At 48.1% G+C, this 18,385-nt stretch overlaps 1 protein-coding gene across 8 annotated transcripts in view, besides 2 other annotated features; it reads right to left on the reverse strand.

The window, feature by feature from the left end:
• Positions 1–16,126, reverse strand: part of TK2 (thymidine kinase 2) — a 42,289-nt gene extending 26,163 nt beyond the window's left edge. For 2 of the 8 annotated variants that reach the window (NM_001271935.1, NM_001172643.1), the window contains exons 1-4: positions 16,088–16,126; positions 14,813–14,844; positions 7,714–7,788; positions 2,799–2,852 (exon numbers count right to left, since the gene is read on the reverse strand). In NM_001271935.1, the coding sequence (NP_001258864.1) occupies positions 2,799–2,852; positions 7,714–7,788; positions 14,813–14,844; positions 16,088–16,118 (192 nt within the window). In that variant the 5' untranslated portion in view covers positions 16,119–16,126. Of the gene's footprint in view, positions 1–2,798; positions 2,853–7,713; positions 7,789–13,805; positions 13,901–14,812; positions 15,958–16,087 lie in introns of those variants that run through there. The other 6 variants (NM_001271934.2, NM_004614.5, NM_001272050.2 and 3 more) reach the window with 6 other exon arrangements.
• Positions 15,691–15,870: a silencer, noted in NCBI's record as "silent region_7560". NCBI's record gives its function as "represses an Ori minimal core promoter by ATAC-STARR-seq in GM12878 lymphoblastoid cells {active_cell/tissue: GM12878}" and the evidence as "EXISTENCE:reporter gene assay evidence [ECO:0000049][PMID:35858748]".
• Positions 18,048–18,107: an enhancer, noted in NCBI's record as "active region_10941". NCBI's record gives its function as "activates an Ori minimal core promoter by ATAC-STARR-seq in GM12878 lymphoblastoid cells {active_cell/tissue: GM12878}" and the evidence as "EXISTENCE:reporter gene assay evidence [ECO:0000049][PMID:35858748]".

Here is an 18,385-nt window from a genome sequence, read left to right on the forward strand (position 1 = left end):
GTGACACCCTGTACCACCTGGGGACTCTGAAGAGTCCCCACTAGCAAGAAAGCCCTCAGCAGATGCACCCCTTCAACCCTGGACTTCTCAGCTGCCCTAACTGCAAAAAATAAATTACTTTTCTTTGGAAATTCAAAAAATAAAATAAAATCACCAAGGAACATGCGTTCAAGTCGTTCAGTGAATGGTCTTTGAGCCCTCTGTAGTCTGTTCTCTATCCAGCCACAAGAGTGAGTCTGTGAAACCTAAATCAGTTCTTGCCACTCCCCTGCTCAGAACCTTCCAGTGGCTTCCCATTGCATGCAGAATGAAATCCAAACCCTTATCATGGCCCACAAGGCTTTCTCTCATCTCCTACCCATCTCCCTCTGGCCTGGTTGGCTTCCAACCACATGAGCTTACTTAGCATTCCTCAAACATGCCAAGCATGGTCCCATCTCAGGGCCTTTGCCTCTGCAGCGCCTTCTGCCTAAACACTCTTCATCCAGATATCTGCAGTGCTCACACCCTCATGTTTAAGCACCTTATCATAGACACATTCCCTGGTTATCTCATGTAAAACAGAAGCCAACCCACCTACTCAATCACTCTCCATCCCTTCTAGAAGCAAAACACTTCATGCTCCAGCATACTTGCTAAGAAACCTGTTCTGCTCCTTTCCTCATTTTTAAATTAATTTTATTTACTTTTATTTCTTTTAGAGATGGAGGTCTCATTATGTTGACCAGGGTTGTCTCAAACTCCTGGCTTTAAGTGATCCTCTGATCTTGGCCTCCCAAAGTGCTGGGATTACAGGCATGAGCCACCACACCCGGCCTTTTCCTCATTTTTGCTTTTCATTTTTCTCTTGGTGCAAACTAATGAAACTCCAGTGTTCTTCATTGAGAACTGCAGACTCCTCTGACTGCAGTTGAGAGAAAATCTCATAAAGGCTAGGAGAAACACTCCCTCTTGCCTGATGGCCGCAGAAACAGTCACCTTTCTGCATCAGAAAACCAATTCAGATAAAGTGATGAATTGAGATTTTTCACAAAAGTATCGATCTTTCTTTTGGTCTAGAGTGGAAACTTATATAAAAATGGCTACTTCTATTGTATTTTTTATTAGGAAACTCTCATTGAAAAGGCTATCTGTACCAAGGACACTAAGACTTCTGAGGCTGTGATTCTGTCCCGTGAAACGTCACTTATGATCCCTAACACCTGCAACTCTAGCTGTCTTACTTAATAACTAAGCCTGGGTTCCTCCTTGGCTTCTAGAGAATATGAATGTTACAGAGGTTTCTTTGTTATATCCAAAGAAGATGACTGGTATTCCATCTTCTCCCGAATGCACAGAGAAGAAATTCTTCTCATGTCTCTTTAGGATTCTTTATTGAAAGACTGAGAGGTTTTGCCTTATTTAAGAAACATCCTTTCACCTGCTTTAGTTTTCTTCCTAGGCCCTATCACCACCCGCCAGATTATATGTTTGACTTCTGCCTCCCCACACTGGAATATTAGGGGCAGGAGAGCAAGGGCTTTGAATTTATCACTGCCATATCATCCAGAACAGTGTCTGCCACATGGCTGACATGCACTGAATATTGGTTGAATGAATGGATGAATGCACAAGCCCCTACTAAGTGCTAGGCAGTGTGCCTTGGTTTTAGCAAATAACAATGAACAAAGTAGATACAGTCCCTGCTCCTAGTAGAACTCAGAGTCTAATGAACCACACAGGAGATGCCAATTGTGTTGCTAAAAATCAGAGGGCATGGCCGGGCACAGTGGCTCACGCCCGTAATCCCAGCACTTTGGGAGGCTGAGGTGGGTGGCTCATGAGGGTCAGGAGATGGAGACCATCCTGGCCAACATGGTAAAACCCTGTCTCTACTAAAAACACAAAAATTAGCTGGGCATGGTCGTGCGCACCTGTAGTCCCAGCTAGTCAGGAGAGTGAGGCAGGAGAATCGCTTGAACCTGGGAGACAGAGGTTGCAGTGAGCCGAGATCGCGCCACTGCACTCCAGCCTAGGGACAGACTGAGACTCCATCTCAAAAAAAAAAAAAAAAAATCACAGGGCAGCACAGGCTTCCAAGTCCATTTACTAGCTGTGTGACCTCAGGCAACTTATATAAGTGCAATTTCCTAAGCTGAAAAATGAGACTAATCATCCCTACCTCATGGGATGGGAGCTCAGAACCAACATCCTCTTCTAAAGCTCTCTCTTGCAGGACCCAGATTCTATCCATCTCTTTCAAGCAACCAGAGCAGAACCTCGAATTGGGGAAGGTGAAGGAAGGGACACAGCACACTACAGCCCCTGTTGCTAGGTTCACCCTTGGGAAAGCAGGCTGGTGGCTTCCAGGTAAGCCAGAGGTGGCCCCTGTTACCAGACAGGGCCAAGTTTGCAAACCCAAGTCAGGGGTCCACCAAGGATCCTGGTTACTTAGAGATAGGTCCTGGGGGGGTTAGGCCTGAGAAGTCCCGGGTTCTGATAGGTTTCTTCTAGGGGAGGGGAAGGCTGGAATGAGCAACAAGAAATGGACACCCCTAGTGGCTAAGGTCGGCCACTGGGAATAGTATGGGATAGCTGACGGGAAGTCCCTAGGCTCTGTGCACAGCCACTCAGGCCTCAGAGATCCTTGACCTCAGAACACCAACATGCCACCATTTTCTGCTTGTCCCTCCCTGGTCTTCTCCAACTCAGTTAAGAGCGCAGAGAATGCCTGGGCAGGCAGGGCTCAGGCAGAGGCACCATCATTCTCAGGTGCTTAAGGGGAAGCCGGGGGTTCATGCAACCAACAACCCACTCACCAGAGGATTGTGGCCACGGACATTTCTCCACTTGGACACAGGCTCCGTTAACACCTGGAAGGAAAGAAAACATCAGAGCTACTGTTTCTCTGTGCTGAACCCTGTAAAAGTGTGTAAGTGTTGAGGGGAAAGTGAGGAGAGAAGGGAAAAAGAGAGAAAAAGACTATCCAAATTTGGGTGCCCAAGGTAGGCCAAAATAGCTGACAACCCCCGTGAGGTCACAACTCTATCTAGACACGGCTTCCTCACATTACTTCCAGAAATGTCCTGAGAATAACTCTATCCATGTTACCCAATGTGCCAAGCATAGGTACATCCTACCTCTCTATTGCCCTGGTAGCCTCCCCAAGGTCAGAGCTGGCTCTGTCCATCCCTCTTCTGTGTATTCTATCCCACCCCTGCCTGCCTACCACATCAAGCTGGCAGGTGGGTGGGAGAAGCCAGGAGGGACACTGGACAGGGCTAGGCCTTGGCAGGCCACCTGCCTCCGTTTCCTGCCTCTGATCACTGCACTGGGTGCACTGGCTGCTGATAGTCCCTGTTTCTTTAGTACGCTCCCTGTCTCACTGGTTTGGAGGCATTCTTTCCCTCTGGTCCTGTTTGTACCTTTTAGGATGACTGCCAATCTCTCCAACATCCTGTGTGTTTTCAGACACATATCAGGATCTCTGCTGGGCATTTCTAGAGCCTCCATCTGTGGTCTAGACACACAAATCTGGGACAACCCCAGACTCTGCTAGAGCCTTTCTGGGTATGCAGGTGTGTGCTAGAAAAGATTTAAATGGTGTTCTTGGGGCCAAGATCTTCAGAGTGCCAGGATCCATCTGGGAACTTTCAGAGTACATGTGAGAAGGGGCCATAGGTGACAAAAGACCAATGGCAGGCAATGCATGGAACTCTTGAAAAGTAGCCACCCTGGCTGGGTGCAGTGGCTCACACCTGTAATCCCAGCACTTTGGGAGGCCAAGGCAGGCAGATCACTTGAGGTCAGGAGTTCAAGTCCAGCCTGGCCAACATGGTGAAACCCCATCTCTACTAAAAATACAAAAATTAGCCGGATGTAGTGGTGCATGCCTGTAATCCCAGATACTCGGGAGGCTGAGGCAGGAGAATCACTTGAACCCAGGAGGCAAAGGTTGCAGTGAGCCAAGATCGCGCTACTGCACTCCAGCCTGGGTGACAGAGCAAGACTCCGTCTCTAAAAAGAAAAGAAAAGTAATCACCCCCCACCCTTCACTCCTGACCTCAAGTGATCCACCCTCAAGCAAGATACTCTGTGTCTTTGCTTACGTTGTTTCTTCTGACCAGCATTCCCACCCCATTCCACTTCACATCAACTTTCATCACATGGAAAACTCCTGTATACCCTTCAAAATCCAGTTCAAATATGCCCTTCCCCTGCCCCTCTCAAACCCCCTCTCCTTCTTCTAGGTCTTCTTCCTAGCCCCTAAGTAGCATACACAGCACCACACAGGCCCACCAGAGTCTGGGTCACAGGCAGCCTTGCTCCCCGACCCAGCTCAGGGGTGCTCCATCCATAGCACTGTCACCCAACAAACATTTATTGAGTGCCCACTGTGTGCCAGATATCCATGCTAGGCACTGAGGACACAACAATAGCAAAACCAGCCCAGCCTCTGCCTTCACAGAACCTTAAGCCTACCAGGGGAAGCAGACATTACTCAGGTAATCACAGAAGCCAACATGTTTTCAAACCCCAAGAAGTGGTATAAAAGAGAGGTACAGAGCGGCCAGGGGATCCTCTGTCAGGAAGCATAACCTCGCTGGGAAGGTCAGGGGACACGGAGCTCAGATCTGAAGGGAGAGTGGTCTTCCTAAAGCCAACAAAGCTCTTCGTACCACAGAATCAAACAAGGGTGTGGCCCCTGGAACCAGACAGCCTGGGCTGGGATCTGGCTGTATCCGGGCTGGGATCTGGCTGTATCATACACTGGCCTAGCGACCCTGGACAAGCCACTTAACCTCATTAGGCCATGGTTTCCTCATCTAAAACTGTGGTAAAAATGGTACCTACTTCAGAGGGACTATTCTTGTGAGGGTGAGATCATTTAGTATTTATGATGAACCCTCAACACAGTGTTGGGCAAATAGCAGTATACTCACTGGATGTTAACTATCGTTGTTAATCGGGTCCAAGGTCTTCAGTGAGACTATAAGCACTTCTAAAGTGCCATTAAGAGTCATATCACTCAGGACAGGGGTCAAGAGTCCCCAAGCCCCCCCTCCTCCCCAGGTTTGATGATTCATGAGAACTCACAGGACACAACACGCAGTCATACTCACAGCTAAGATGGATTACACCGAAAGGACACAAAACAAGATCAGCAAAGGGGACCGGGCACGGTGGCTCACGCCTGTAATCCCAGCACTTTGGGAGGCTGAGGTGGGTGGATCACTTGAGGTCAGGAGTTTGAAACCAGCCTGGCCAACATGGTGAAACCCCATCTCTACTAAAAATACAAAAAAATTAGCTGGGCATGGTGGTGGGTGCTTGTAATCCCAGCTACTTGGGAGGCTGAAGCAGGAGAATTGCTTGAACCCAGGAGGCGGAGGTTGCAGTGAGCCGAGATCATGCCACTGCACTCCAGCCTGGGTGACAGAGCAAGACTCCATCTCAGAAAAAAAAAAAAAAAAAAAAAAGGAAGAAAAAGAAAAAAGGATCAGCAAAGGGAAAAAGGGCAGGTGCAAAGTCTGGAGGAAACCAGGCACAAGCTTCCAAGGGTCCTCTCATAGAGGAGCTGCACAGTACACACTGAATTCCCCAGGCAACAAGATGTGACAATACATGTGAAATGTTGTCTAGCAGGCAAGCTGGCCTGAACCTGGGAGTTCAGGGTTTTCATCAGCGCTCAGCCATGCAGACAACCACTTCCTGACATGTACCAAAATTCCGGACTCCCAGGAAGAAAGCAGGTGTCAGCATAAACCATACTGTTTGCAGAAACAATTTAAGCAGAGAGCCACTGTTATCAGTTAGGAATGGTGGGGGCCCTCCCAAGATCTAAGTTCCCAGATGCCAGCCAAAGACCACCCTTGCAAGCAGGCATTTCTAAAGGGCAGCAGTCTTAGGTCTGCTATGTTAACTCTTTCCTGCACAGCAGCACATGAACACAGCAGGACAAGGGCTATATAATGTTTATTATTATTTTTATCAAACTATATATATTTCTTTTCTTTCTTTCTTTTTTCTTTTTTTTTTTTTTTTTGAGACAGGGCCTCACTCTGTCACCCAGGTTGGAGTTCAACGGCACAGTCCTGGCTCACCACAGCCTCAACCTCCTGGGCTTAAATAATCCTCCCACCTCAGCCTCTTGAGCAGCTGGGACTACAGGCATGTGCCACCACATCCAGCTAAGTTTTGTATTTTTTGTAGACATGTGGTTTTGTCATGTTGGCCAGGCTACTCTTAAACTACTGGGCTCAGGTGATCCTCCCCCTTCAGCCTCCTAAAGTGCTGGGATTACAGGCATCAGCCACCACACCTGGCCATGCATATATTTCTAGCAGAAGTAAAAACAGGAAAGGAAGGGAAGAAGGAAAGAAAATGACTATAAAAGTATAGAAATTGTAGCTTCTGTAGTAACAAAAGAGAGCCATCAATAGAGAAGATTATACCACTAAAATCTAGAACAAGGAAGACAGGTCAATGTCTTAGTGTAGAGATGATTCTTAAACATCTCTGAGGTTAGTTTTAGTGACTAGGCTTTAAATGAACTAGAAATTAAATTAATTGCCTATGCATAGTAATACCCACTGCTCAGACATTGCTATCTCAGATGTCACACTTCTAGCCCTGCTCAATAGCCTGTCCTTTCTTCTTACCCATGTAGACTCTTTTCCTAACCAGACTTTGAGGCAGTCAACACTTGCACTGTCCAATACAGTGGCCATGAGCCACAGGCAACTATTAAGACCTTGAAATATGAGTAGTCCAAATTAAGATATGCTATAAGTTACACTTATTTTACAAATACAAACAGTTTGAGCATCCCTAATTGAAAAATCCAAAATCCTAAATGCTCCAAACTCCAAAACTTTCTGGAAACCGATATGACACTTCAAATGAAAAATTCCACACATAAATACTTAACACAAACTTGTTTCATTCACAAAATTATTTAAAATATTGTATAAAATTACCTTCAGGCTATGTATATATGAAACATAAATGAATTTCGTGTTTTGGCTTGGGTCCCATCCTCAAGATATCTCATTACATTTATGCAAATATTCCAAAATCTGAAAAATTCTGAAATCTAAAACACTTCTGGTCTCAAGCATTTCAGATAAGGGATGCTCAACCAGTATCATATTCCAAAGACTTAGTATAACAAGATAGAATGCAAAATAGCTCATTGATGATTTTTATATTGATTAAATGTTGACATGATCACATTTGGCATATGTTATGTGAAATAAAATGTCCTTTTTATTTTTTGTGGGTTTTTTTCTTTTTTTGAGACAGGGTTTCACTCCTGCTGCTCAGGATGCAATGCAATGGCGTGATCTCAGCTCACTGCAACCTCCACCTCCTGGGCTTAAGCAATCCTCCCACCTCAGCCTCCCAAGTAGCTGGAGCTACAGGCACGTACCACCATGCCTGGCATATTTTTGTAGAGATGGGGTCTCGCCATGTGGCCCAGGCTGGTCTGGAACTCCTGGGCTCAAGCAATCCACCTGCTTCCGCCTCCCAAAGTGCTAGGATTACAGGCTTGAGCCACTGCACCGGCCCCTTTTGTTTTTTTAATGAGGATATTAGAAATGTTAAATTACACCTGTGGCTTGCACTTGTGGCTCAAATTATAGTCCTATTGGACAAGGTTAGTCCACACCCTCTATAAATTATCCCATCAAGCTTTCTCCGCTTCCTTCAAACCTAGCATAGAGGCTGTACCTCGACGTCTGTCGCGTTGGAGAAGAATTCCAGGCATGTCGTCTTCCCACTTGCAATATTGCCCTCGACACAGATCTGGCAAAAGACGAATGCATATTAGAGCCAGAACTCAAGCACCCAGGGGAATGTCAGGGAATAATGGCTACGGAAAGGGCTCATGTAACCAGCATAATTGGTTCAGTCCAAGACTTTCACATGTAAACCAAAATCCCTCCTCGGGAAACTGGCAAGGTCCCATTGTTAGTAATAACAGATAAGCCGATCCTCCCTGAGTGGCAGGCTCATGTGGTCCCCCCAGACCAGATCCTCCTTTACGTCAACTCCTAAACCATACACAGCTTGTCTGCCCAGCCCAGCTCTGCCCTTCCTTAGTTCAACCCCACAGACTATTAGATTTTAGGCCTAAGTGTCCTGCCTCCTTAACGAGAGCTTAATCAATGGCTTTGAGGCTAGGAAACACATATATGTTATCTAGAATCGAATTCACTGCTTTACAGAAAAAAAAAGCACTTGGTCACTGACTGGAAACCATTAGGAAAGGGGAGAAGAAAAAAAGAGCAAGGACTTTGTTAAGCACCTTGTCACAGGCCAAGCCCTGAGACAGGTAACACACCATTATCACATGTAACCTCACTGAAACCTGAGAAGGGTAAGTCCTAACATTTTTCACAGAAAACAAAAATGAGGCTTGTAGAAGACAATAAAGCAAGGACAGCTTGAACCTAGACTCTGCTCACAATGACTGCACGTGGGAGGGAAAGGGGGTCATGGCACTAGTGGGAGGGGCCAGAAACAGCCTTCTGGGTCTACCTATACCAAAGACCAAGGAGCATCCTAGAAGTAACTCATCTTAGGGAGAGAAGGTATTCCAGGCAGCGGTTCTCAGCTCTGGCTATACGCTAGGACCACCTGGGACCTTTTAAAAATCTCTACAGGGATGCCACAGCCCAGACCAATTACACCACAATCTCTGGGAGTGAGACTCAAGACTCAGTAACTTTTTTTTTCTTTGAGACAGAGTTTCACTCTTGTTGCCCAGGCTGGAGCACAGTGGCGTGATCTCAGCTCACTGCAACCTCCACCTCCTGGGTTCAAGCCATTCTCCTGCCTCAGCCTCCCGAGTAGCTGGGATTACAGGTGCCCACCACCACACCCGGCTAATTTTTTGTATTTTTAGTAGAGACATGGTTTCACCATGTAGGCCAGGCTGGTCTCAAACTCCCGACCTCAGGTGATCCACCCGCCTCAGCCTCCCAAAGTGCTGGGATTACAGGCGTGAGCCACTGCACCCGGCCAAGCCTCAGTAACTTTTAAAGCTCTCCAGGCGATTTCAATGTGCAGGCAAGGATGGGAACCACGAGGCTGGAGCAGAGCTTCTCCCTGTCTAGTCCACAGATGCCTGCTTCAGATGCACCAGAGGAGCTGGTTAAACATGAGGTGGCACCAGGTAGCATCCAGACCCTAAATCAGACTCTAGGCTGGAGCCCTTGAACCTGTAGCCCAGTGATTCTGACCAAGCTCTGCTCAGCCAGGCACTGCTGATGACATAGGCCCAGTGGCTCTGGCTCCAGCAGATGGCCACAGGGAACGGGCAGCTCCAATACATAAGACAAACTGTCCCCTGAGAACACATTAGACATCCTCCAGGGGCACACACAGAGAGGGGCCCGACCTGCTGCACAGAGGCCTGTTCCTTTGCACTCAGGCTGGAAGCACCCAGAGAAACCTGGGCAACACAGGTAACTTACCCAAGTGCCAGACTTGGCTAGGGAAGAATCAGAATTAGAATTCACATCCAGGCCCCTTCTCACGACTCCTGATGGAGCCTCAGTCACACCTCACATAAACACCAGGTCACAGTGGGCCGTCTCACCCGACCCCACTAAAGTCTCCCCAGCAACTAGAACTCTGTCAGCTGGCGGAGAAGGTTCCTCCTGCCTTGATCCTAACGGGTATCCAGGAGACACAAGGCCACTCTCCCATCCTGGGTCCCTCCCAGCCCACTCCTTTAGAGCCCCAAACTACAAAATGAACCCAAGGGAATGAACAAAAGGGCATGAAAAGACCCCATTAGGGCACTAATGGATTTAATTTTTTTATTGCTCTTTAAAGAAAACTTTTCCTCTTCCTAGATATATAAAAAGAGCTCAACCTAGACATCACTCTACAGTCTTTTTTCTTTCCTGTTCATTGAAGCATTTTAACAGGTTGTTCAGATAAGCCCTTCTCCCAGAAACTTGTTCCTATCCCCAGCATGAAATCCTGAAGAGCTGGTGAATGTCAGGCCCTGAATGAGCTCAGCCAATCTGCCCTCCGGTTTACAGCAGGCAACGCAGGAAGAATCTCACAAAGTTCCCCTGAAATGGAAGGGGGAACAGGAAGCAAGCAAAGGGAGTCTTTACATTTCTTTTTAAAGTGATGTCTAAAAATATTATAAGAGAAGTGCATGCCCATTGAAGAAAATACAGAAAATCAAAAAGGAGAAACTATCACCCATAATCCCAATACTAAGAGATAAACCCCATGACATATGAGCATATTTCATGCCAAATATTATTTTCTATACAGTCCTCATCTTTGAGCACGTTTCAACTGTTTATTGAAGGCCTATGCTGTGCCAGGCACTGTGTACTCAGGGCCTCGTTGCAACGGCCAAAGAGCTCATGAGTGTGTGGAGGAAAGCAACAGGAAACTGTGAAAAGGAGATGGTCCCCATGCTGTGGGAGCACATGGCCGGCCTGGCCCAACACTCTGTGATTACGCTACAATTTATCTCCATTTTCCTCTGCTATGAGCCCTTGAGTCCAATTTTCCATGATTATAACTGAAACTGTGATGAGCCATCTATCCCTATTATAAGTAACAATATTTAATCTTTCCTAAAAATGGAAATTAAGCATTCTTGTGCTAAGAAATACATTCTCAGTGGCCAGGCGCAGTGGCTCACGCCTGTAATCCCAGCATTTTGGGAGGCCGAGGCAGGGGATCATTTGAGGTCAGGAGATCAAGACCAGCCTGGCCAACATGGTGAAACCCCGTCTCTACTAAAAATACAAAAATTAGCCAGGCGTGGTGGCGGATGCCTGTAATCCCAGCTACTGGGGAGGCTGATGCAAGAGAATCGCTTGAGCTTGGGAGCTGAGAGGTGGAGGTTGTGGTGAGCCGAGATCACACCACTGCACTCCAGTCTGGGTGACAGAGTGAGACCCTGTCTTCAAAAAAAAAAAAAAAAAGAAATACATTCTCACACACAAGAATGTATGTATGCATGAATATATGTATATGTTTATGAATATGCATATATGTATTTATCAGTTGGATTTCTCTGATCAAACCTTATTACACAATCCCTAAAAGAAGAAAATAAAAATCACTCGTAAATCTCAGCAATCATTGTCATTTGGATGTTTAATTAGAACCCAGGGTTCCAGAGGCAAACTGGCTTGGGTGCCAAAGCCTCCACAGGGAGAATCCAAATATCCTGTCTTATCAAAGACCCTGAGAAATCTGCAGTCAAAAGAAACTTGCCCAAACGTCTAACAACTGGCAAGTGGATAAACAAAGTGCACTACAGCCACGCCATGAATACTATTCAGCTATAGGAAAAAATGACATACTAATACGTGCTACAAGGCAGATGCATGTCAAAATATTATGCTAAGCAACCAGGAGCGGTGGCTCACGCCTGTAATCCCAGCACTTTGGGAGGCCTAGACAGGCGGATCACCTGAGGTTAGGAGTTCGAGACCAGCCTGGCTAACGTGGTGAAACCCCGACTCTACTAAAAATACAAAAATTAGCTGCACGTGGTGGCACATGACTGTAATCCCAGCTACTTGGGAGGCTGAGGCAGGAAAATGGCTTGAACCCTGGCGGCGGAGGTTGCAGTGAGCCAAGATCATGCCATTGCACTCCAGCCTGGGCAACAGAGAGAAACTCCATCTCAAAAAAGAAAAAAAAAAAATGTGCTAAGTGAAAGAAGCCAGATACAAAAGATCCCACGCTATATGTTCCATTTTATATGGAACGTCCAGAAAACACAAATCCCTAAAGAGACAGGAAGTAGATTAGTGGTCACCTGGGGCCAGAAGAGATTGCAAATGGGCACAAGGTTTCTTTTTGGAGTAATGGAAATGTTATAAAATTAGATTGCACAGCCTGGGCAACATGTAGAAATCCCATCTCTACAACAAATACAAAAATTAGCCAGGAATGGTGGTATGTGCCTGTAGTCCCAGCTACTTGGGAGGCTGATGTGGGAGGATCACCTGAGACCAGGAAGTCAAGGCTGCAGTAAGTTGTGATTGTGCCACTGTCCTCCAGCCTGGACAACAGAGCCAGACCTTGTCTCAAAAAATAAAAAATAAAAATAAAATAAAATAAAATTAGATTGTAGTGGTGTTTACTCTGTAGTGCTGTTTACTCTGTAAATTTACTAAAAATCATTGAATTGCACATTTAAATGGGTGAATTTTGTGGTATGCAAATTACAATAAAGCTGTTTTAAAAAGGAACCCAGCTGAATTTCATTTAACATTCAAATAACTAAGGGAAGACACTTTTACCCCATCACACCACAAACTCTCTCTTACATGCTCCTTGTTAACCCCACATCTATCTCTTAACTAGACTGAGAATTTCGGCATTAATGTTTATAATATTTCTTTCCTGTTTGTTTCCTAAGGACAGTTTTTTTTTTCATTTGGGATCATACTTCATATACTTTTGTTGGTTTTGTTATTTTTTTTTTTCATCTTTTACATAGTGAGTGCCTTCCCAGGTCACTAAATATTTTTCAAAAACATGGTTTTTAATGGCTTTACATAATCCATTATATAAGACCTGTCACAATTTATTGAACTCCCTACTATTTGATTTTTTTTTTTTTTTTGAGACAGGGTCTCGTTCTGTTGCCCACGATGGAGTGCAGCAATGCAATAACAGCTCACTGCAGCCTTGACCTCCCAGGCTCAAGCAACCCTCCCACCTCAGCCTCCCGAGTAGCTAGGACTACTGGTGCATGCCACCATGCCCAGCTAATTTTTTGTATTTTTTGTAGAAACAGCATTTTGCCATGTTGCCCAGGCTGGTCTCAGACTCCTGAGCTCAAGCAATCCTCCCACCTTTGCCTCCCGAAGTGCTGGGATTATAGGCATGAGCCATTAGGTATGGCCCTGTTGGATGTTAAGTTCTGTCCAGTTATTTTATTAAAAAACTTTGTTGTGATACTCAATTATCTAATATTGTAAACTGTGCCATGTAATGGCTGCACCATCCACCCAGACACCTTTAACACTCTGGACATCTCTCCTCACCCACCAACACCAGTCAACCAACCAGCAACTCCCCTGGGCCCTGCTTTCCCACTCAGCTGCGGGCTCTGTGCCATCTCTAGTTTAGTTAAGGTCTCTCCCCTTCCAGTCTCACCCAGTTAGGCCCTCCACTCATGGTTCCCCACATCGCTCCCTGAGAGGCAACCCGGATCGTGCTGGGTGGGGGTGAGGCCCTTCAGTGACTCTGGGTTTTAGGACCTATTCTCAGTCCCTCTGCACCTATCCCCCAGCCCTCCCCAGCCACCTCTCTAGGGACTGGCCACAAGCCCAGGCCTGCAGGTTCTCATTCTTCTGTGACTTGTACCTGTTCCAACACTCCTGCCTCAAACTCTGCTCCATCTCCCAGCAGGCAATAAGGCTTCCCAAAGCTCCTCTCAGTCATCAGCCCCCCTACTCACAGCCACCATACTCACTGCTGTTCTAGTTCCACCATTCTCCTAGTTACTGCTGTCTCCCCCATCAGACAGACCTCCCCCATCAGACAAACCTCCCCCATCAGACAGACCGCAGACTCCCAAATGTCAGGGCTGTTTGCCAGGTGCCCAGGTCCTAGCCCAGTGCATCCCACACAGGAGCTCACAGGACTTGAATGTTTACAAACAGTCCTGAGCCTGAATGCAGGCTCCATACCACTTTCTATGAACTAGCTATTGTGTGTCTGGGGGCACATCAAACCACACCCAAAAAGCACAAAGAACAGGCCCAGCTCACATCAATGCTAGCTCAATAACTAATAAATAGCCAGGCACAGTGGCTCACACTTGTCATCACAGCTACTCAGGAGGCTGATGCCAGAGGATCACTTGAGCCCAGGAGTTGGAGGCCAGCCTGGGCAACACAGCAAGACGCCGTCTCTTAAATGTATAAACAAACAAAAATACATTAATTACCATCCAGCTCAACTTTGCATTTCCCTCCCCTTCTATGGCACCCGCTGGCATATCCTTCTCCTAATTTCAACAAACTTCCACAAATCTCAAGCATTTCAATCCTCTCTATGTGGTTTCACTACTTCCCAAGAGCTCTCCACCACCCTGAGTACGCTGGGGGCCTGCCCGCACTGTCTACCCTCTGCAGATCCCAGCCACGGTACTCCTGCCACCACTTGCCAAGCCACCCCCTTCCCAGCCACTGGAGCTAGGGACTTTCAGTTCTTTTAAGGAATTGAGCCTTGGTTTGTGACCAAAATATCACTCCCTACCCCAGCCAGCTAAAGCACCCAATATCCCCATGGACACCAACCTGACCCTTCTTTGACCTTCAGCCTCACACTAGTCACAGCCCCAGCCCAGAGCCAGCATCTCAAAGCCACCCTGATAACTGAACCCACATCTGTGGACCCTAATGGTTTCTCTCTGATCCCCTGCCCACCCACCAGTCTCAACACTGGGGGGAGAGGGTGGTGGTGGACAGAGCTTCCCTCACATCTGAGCTGCCCAACCCAAGATGAAACTGACCTTCCCCACAACACAATGAGCGTTTTTCAAATCCTTTCACAATCATCCCTTAAGCTTTAACAGCCCAAATCTACCTGAAGGATACAAATACTTGTGTGCTCCTATCTGTGCAGACTCTGGGGAAAGATACAAGAAATTGGTAACAGAGGTGGCCTTCTAGGAGGGTGACAGACTTCCTTCTCCCTGGAGATCCTCTTGTATTTTTGCTTTTTACTATGGAATGTATTTTTGCTTTTTACTCTGCTTTTTTCTCTCTCCTCTTCAAAAAACCAAATTATCCTAGAGAGTACACATAAAAGAGGGACTTACCACTGATTTTTTCTCTTTTTCCTGTTCTTTATCTACAAAAGAAAGGAAATCAGTTTTTAAACTCACTTTTAAATAACTCTCCTCTGCCCTAATTTGCTACATGACCACAAAAACACTAATGTTTATGCTCACTCCCTGGCCTAAAAACATTTTCCATTTTGGGCGCCCTCCGAGATTGGAGGCGCGCACCACCGTCTCGCCGATGTGCCACCCTGGGCTGCAGCTGCAGCTTCGTGGACCCCCAGTGTGCTCGAGTTCTTTCACTTAGTACATTATACTTTGCATTTTCCACGTTATTTATTTAGATCTTCACAGACTGGATGTTAAGCAAGTGGAAAGGCAGAACAGCCTCCACTCGCGGTGCACGGGGAAGAGTGGGCGGCGGACGTGGTTTTGGGCCTGGGACCCAGGTGTTCCTCTAGGCCCAGGGCGGGCATCGCTGCCCATCCGTCCCACAGGTGGTTCTGAGGCGTCTCTCAACAGCCATATGGCGGACACCAGAACCCGGGTGTAACAGTGACCCGTTTCTGTGTGGGTCCCCACTCCCAGGGAGGGCAGGAGAGCGCCGGGGGCGTAACCCCCCTCCCCCACGCTGGCACCAGAGTGTGAGCAGAATCGGCTTAAGGCAGCTCCCAGTCCCCATCGCCCCCAAGGTCGAAAGAATCGGGACAGGAAATGGGTCGGGGGACCGAGTTTGGGCCGGAATGTTCAGAGCGTGTCCGTCCTGCTCTTTAAAGGCCCTCTCTCCATCCCAGAACCAAAGCCGAGCGCCCCCAGCGCTCGCTGCGGTCTCGCGCCCGGGTAACGGCCGATGGCCGCCCCCGTCCCAGCCGCAGCCGGGGAGGAAATCCCGCGCCTCGGAAGAGGCGCTTCGGGCTCGGGCGGGTTCCGGAAGCCGAGGGGCCGGGAGTAGGTGGGCGCATAGGGGCTCCTGGGAGGCGGGACCAAGACGCGCGTTACCGGGAGGCCAGGCCCGGCGCTGCACCCTCCGCGGCCCGGGGCCTGAGGCCGGGCTCCCGCGACTTCCCGGCCCAAAGCAGCGCAGCGCCCGGGCGGCCCAGCCCCGCAGCGGCCACAGCAGCATAGCCGGGCGAGCGGATCCAGAGGCCCGGGGTTCCTTCTTGTGCGAGTCGGCGCGGACGACTGCTAGTCCAGCCGTTGGGCGCCGCCTGGATCCCGGCGCCTGGCCCTTAAAGAGACCCGGTCGCATTTCATCTCAGCAAGAGGAGAAATACTCGAAGGGAGAGGTTCGCCGCTGGCAGCCAGAAGCCTTACCACTGCTAGGACGCTGGCAGAACGCACCCATAACTTGGCAACACTCGGAGGATGGATGGCAAATAATACCAGCGACTGAAGGGTTAATTAATGATTGCAGATTAATTGAACACCTTCTGTAATCAGACACCTGGCACACACTCATGATGTCACTTATTCCTCCCAACAACCCTGCAAATAGATAACTGTCTCTCCCATTCTCCGAGCTTGTCCTCAGAGAATTAGGTAACTTGTTCAAAATGGTCAGAAGCAACAGATATAACTCCTTGCTCTACTCTTTCCCCCCTTCTCACTACTGCACTTGACTAGTCTTTTTAAAACATAAATTTTTTGGCCAGGCACGGTGGCTCACGCCTGTAATCCCAGCACTTTGGGAGGCCAAGGAAGGCAGATCACCTGAGGCCAGAAGTTCGAGACCAGCCTTGGCCAACATGGCGAAACCCCATCGCTACTAAAAATGCAAAAATTAGCTGGGTGTGGTGGGGGGCACCCGTATTCCCAGCTACTCAGGAGGCTGAGGCAGGAAAATCGCTTGAACCTGGGAGGCAGAGATTGCAGTGAGCCGAGATCACTGCACTGCACTCCAGCCTGAGCAACAGAGGGACACTTCGTTCCCCCCGCCAAAAAAAAAATTTTTTTTTAATGATCAGAAGCGGCTGGGCGCGGTGGCTCGGGCCTGTAATCCCAGCACTTTCGGAGGCCGAGGAAGGTAGATCACTTGAGGTCATGAGTTCAAGACCAGCCTGACCAACATGGCCAAAAACTGTCTCTACTAAAAATACAAAAATTAGCCGGGCGTGGTAGCGCACGCCTGTAATCCCAGCTACTCAGGAGGCTCAGGCACGAGAATCGCTTGAGTCTGGGAGGCGGAGGTTGCAGTGAGCTGAGATCGTGGCCACTGCAATCCAGCCTGGGCGATAGAGTGAGACTACGTCTCAAAAAAAAAAAAAAAAAAAAAAATCAGAAGCATTCATTAAGGGGTGAAGCTAGAATTCCAGCCCATTTCTCTTGCTTTGCAGCTGGAGCTCTTTCCTCTGAACTTTGACAGTTCCAGCGTCTAGACTCTAAACGTACTAGATCCCTCCAGAGGAGGCAACCAAATATTCCAACTATACAGACAAGTAGGGGCTAGGGAGGAAGCATGTAAATTCCATCATACTCAGCAAAAATTCAGCCCAGATGTGGAGTCACAGAGTATTAGAATTCAACAGGCCCAAGTCCAGTAACCGGAGCTGTTGCCACTCTTGACTGTGAAGGTTCCAGTGCTTGCGTGGAGGGGTTTCTCACCTCTCCCGGGAGGGCGTGATGCTGGCAGTCACCACTAGGCAGGGAGAAGGAAGTCATTTGCCTCTAGATCTGCTGCCTCATCTTGTGCTTCCTGTATATCTGCCACACACCTAGCAAGTGTGCTCTCCGTAAATAAACTTCAGGATTAAGGCCATTTTTGTGAGTGATTTGTGATGAAGCTGTTGGAGGTAACTGTCGATCAGATTTAAAAGAATGAAATGGACTGAAGCTGAGATGGGCAGGATCCAAACAGATCTGAATGAACTACGGTGATGGCCAAATTATCCAAGATAGAATGTAAATCACATAAAAGGAGCGACATATACTTCCCATCCCTAAAAAGGAATGCCCCAAGACGGTGGAGATCTGGCTTCATGGCAGCACTTGAGAAAAAACATTAAGTATCTGAAGGGACTCAGGCTGTTCCACGGAAGAACTAGTACCAGTGGGAGGCAAAAGTAAAAATATGCAGAACAAGTCCCGAGTGTGATGCCCTGGGGGCTTGGATAGGACCTGAGGCTGCACACTTTCTGCACCAACTATGTGCCAGAACCTGGGCCCTGCAGGGAGAGAAGCAGACCAGTCCCTGCTTTTGTGGAATTTGTATTTTTCTGATATATATCAGCTAGCAATAAACGCTCAGAAGTTATGGTGGCTGCTCTAGACGGGATGACCAAAGGAGATCCCCTTTAAGGAGGTGATATTCACAATGCCCAAGTTGTTGGGAGATGGGGCCGCCATTTCTACAGCCCCCTCCCTCTCCTCTGCTCCCAACCCTGGGAGGATTTCCCGACAGGAAGACTCCTCAGGAGAGCTGGAGTGCTGCCGTCATTAACGCCAGGCCAGAACACGGCGGGCTAACAGGGCGCTGGCCTGCGTGCCCACCTCTAGGTCCGCTAATATGTGCCCAGCTCTAGGTCCGCTAATGTGCTACGCGATAACTGAAAGACAGCACAAGCCAGAGCGGACGGCCGCGGGATCCCGTTGGGGCGCATGCGCGAGAGCGAACGC

The sequence above is a fragment of the Homo sapiens genome, chromosome 16 (assembly GCF_000001405.40).
Source record: "Homo sapiens chromosome 16, GRCh38.p14 Primary Assembly".
In the NCBI taxonomy this organism is placed as follows: domain Eukaryota; kingdom Metazoa; phylum Chordata; class Mammalia; order Primates; family Hominidae; genus Homo; species Homo sapiens.